At 40.0% G+C, this 3,309-nt stretch overlaps 1 annotated feature.

The window, feature by feature from the left end:
* Positions 1,244 to 1,745: an enhancer, noted in NCBI's record as "NANOG hESC enhancer chr2:17517037-17517538 (GRCh37/hg19 assembly coordinates)". NCBI's record gives its function as "activates a minimal SCP1, AML or CMV promoter by ChIP-STARR-seq in primed H9 embryonic stem cells {active_cell/tissue: H9 hESC(primed)}" and the evidence as "EXISTENCE:reporter gene assay evidence [ECO:0000049][PMID:30033119]".

Here is a 3,309-nt window from a genome sequence, read left to right as displayed (position 1 = left end):
CTAGCTTGCCATCTGAAGATCTTGGGACTTCTCTCCCTCCATAATTGTATGAGCCAATTCATTGTAATTTGTATGTGTGTATGTATCTATCTACCTATCTGTCTATCTATCTATCTATCTATCTATCTATCTATCTATCTATCTGTCTATCTATCATCTATCTACATACCTATTCATCCTATTGATTTGATTTCTCTGGAGAACCCTAAATAACACAGGCTGTCTTTGGATACAAGGAACAGGGACTCACTTAAGTCATCACATGTTATTTGATCATTTTCATGGGAATATGTGCACACAGAAAACTAGAACAAACTGAACACTCTGGTCTTGATAGAGTGGGGCTACAGATGGGATGTTGTGTTCTTAATCTATCCAGCTACTTCATGATGCCTGTTCAAATCTCCACTTGTTAGAGACTTGCTTATTCACATTCTTGATCCTATATTCATTTTTCTGTGCTTCGTAGACCTTGTTTGCTCTTAGATTCTGCTTACTTATAACTTTCCTTTTTATATGATAAAACTCTATCTCATTGCATCCCATCAATTTAGCCTCTACTTCTGTCTCATTCTTCCAGATATAGCAGTTCACTTTTCTGAAGGAGAAAACATAATAGTCCCTGCTTCATCTTTTCACAACAGACCACATTACAAATAACTCATTTTACTATGAACTCAGTTTCTTTGGTTAGATTTCAAAGATCTATCTTGGTCCAATCAGCTAGGACTGGAAAGTACGGGGTCATAGAATATAAAACTTAGCCACCTGGGGCTTTCCTTTCAGTGGAGGTTGTGTATTGGCAGCTTCTCTTAGAAGAACTGTGTTGTGGCTTCAACTGTAATTGTCATGGCTGGAACACTGTGTCTGCACACACAAGGAAGAACAGAGAGAAATGTTGGCATTTGATGGTTGCTTGGTGATAGTGCATCTCGTTTCACTTTATAAAGACATGTGTTTGGCTCCAGTTCTTCATTTTTTTTTAACCTGAATGATCAGAAACATCTTAGCAGGGTTCAGATAGGTGAAATTACAGAAACAGCCTGCCCCAAGTGTCAGAGAGGCAACAGATTTAATAAATGAGTCACTATCTGTATGTGTTTATTGTCTATATTTACATAAGTATTAGATACATTTTTTTTTCCTTCTATTATGCTCACTCTCCCATACTTCAAGGCTTAGCTTCTGCTCTTCATTCCTTGGGAAATATTCCCAATCTGCTGGTGCTCACTTTTATTTGCGTCTGTGTGAAGAGACCACCAAACAGGCCTTGTGTGAGCAACAAGGCTGTTTATTTCACCTGGGTGCAGGCGGGCTGAGTCCGAAAAGAGAGTCAGTGAAGGGAGATAGGGGTGGGGCTGTTTTATAAGATTTGGGTAGGTAAGGGAAAATTACAGTCAAAGGGGGGTTGTTCTCTGGCGGGCAGGAGTAGGGGTCACAAGGTGCTCAGTGGGGGAGGTTTTTGAACCAGGATGAGCCAGGAGAAGGAATTTCACAAGATAATGTCATCACTTAAGGCGAGGACCAGCCATTTTCACTTCTTTTGTGGTGGAATGTCATCAGTTAAGGCAGGAACCGGCCATCTGGATGTGTACATGCAGGTCACAGGGGATAAGATGGTTTAGCTTGGGCTCAGAGGCCTGACACTCACTGGCCTCTTTCTCTGAGCTCCAACAGCAGCTACAGATTGCAGCAGAAGCTCAATCCAGAGAAGGGACCATAGACTCTTCTGCCCCTAAGCCTTGGCTCACTCACCCACCTACCTCATCCACACTCATAGTTGGCTGTGTCTGGCAGGCCAAGGTGGCTTCTATGAGGACCCAGGGGACTAGGTAGGTTCCATCACCACTCTTCTTTCCTAACCCTCCTTGTCTAACAGACTCAGAGCAGAAGTCCAGATTTTCATAATACTCTTTCTCCAGGGATTTCCTCTCAAGGTGCTAGCATTCTTTAGCTCAATTGGCTGGAAATCTTGATGAAAATGTGGTCTTATTTTAATCACATATTAAATTGTTCTATGTCAAAAACAGTTCTTCTTCTAGCAGGAAGTAGTGGTAATGGTAGCAATAGGGAATTTTCTGTAAGTGGATAAGCCAGTATCTACTTCAGTATCAGTGTTGGCCTCTTTCAGAGGAGGGGGCTTCTCACCATATCCACTAGCAAAACACTAGGATGTTTGCTTCTCAGCAGCTCTCCTCCCTTGTTTCTGCTTGTTAAGGAGAAAACATGCATAACAAATAACTCTTTAAAAATGATGGAGATGTTGCTTTACAGCCTGTCTTCTATTTGTAGAAACCATTTTAATAATTACCATCTGAAATAGTTATTTACTTATCTAATAAGAATAATAAAAACAATAGATAACATTTATTGACAAACTACTATGTGCAAGGCATTTTTCTCAGCTTGATATACTGTGTTTTTTTCCATATTAACTTTTAAGCATGGTGACAAGGTAATTGATGTTTTCTCTCTTTTACAAATTAGAAAGTCAAATTCAAGAAGATAAGAAAAAAAAAACAAGCTGAATGAAGACATTTATTTAGTCAGTGGCAGAAGTAGAACTTGAATCCAGTTCTTCACAACACCATGTCCAGCATTCATTCCATTCTATGAGGCAGTAAAGTTTAAGCCATACTCAAAACAAAAGAATCTTCACTGTTATAGTAGATTGCTATCCTATACAGAAAGCATATTAATGTCAAGTTCTCCGGTAGAACATAAATGATGCAGTCCTCTTCAAATCCATCTTGGTATATAACCTTTATATCTGGGCTAAATTTCCATGAAGTCTTCTGTAAATCACAGAAGACAGAATCTTTGGGAGCTCTATCTGGCATTGTTAAATTTAAGCTCCAAATCAGTATTTGTCAAAATAAAACAAATCTCAATCAAATTTTGTGCAAACAGAAGACAAGCCAATGTAGAAGATCAAGTGGTCAAATTGAAACACAGATTGCAGTTGGCCCCATGTAGGCATCCTGGACAGATGACAGAATTCCCTGTTGTAGGGCCTGCCTGGAGCCATCTGGAGGTTTACAAGTCACAGCAGCAGCAACCCAGGCTCAGAAGCCCAGGAGGGAGCCTGATACAGGGAGTCTGAATTCTAAACCACTTATTCTACACCTCTTTGATTTCTCTCTACCCAGATTCCTGAAGTCTCCAGGGAATGGTATTGTGGTAGCAAAACTGTAAACTCTTAGCTGGGCAAGTAATTGGCTTGCGGTTGACCTAGGAGAAATACACTGTTTCTAAAATGTGTGTTGAGGAGCACAGAACAATTTTTTAACCTTGATGCCATGCCTCTTT

Source organism: Homo sapiens, chromosome 2, assembly GCF_000001405.40.
Source record: "Homo sapiens chromosome 2, GRCh38.p14 Primary Assembly".
NCBI classification, from domain to species: Eukaryota; Metazoa; Chordata; class Mammalia; order Primates; family Hominidae; genus Homo; species Homo sapiens.
Note: the sequence above shows the minus strand (reverse complement) of the source record. Positions and strands in the feature narration are given on the sequence as shown.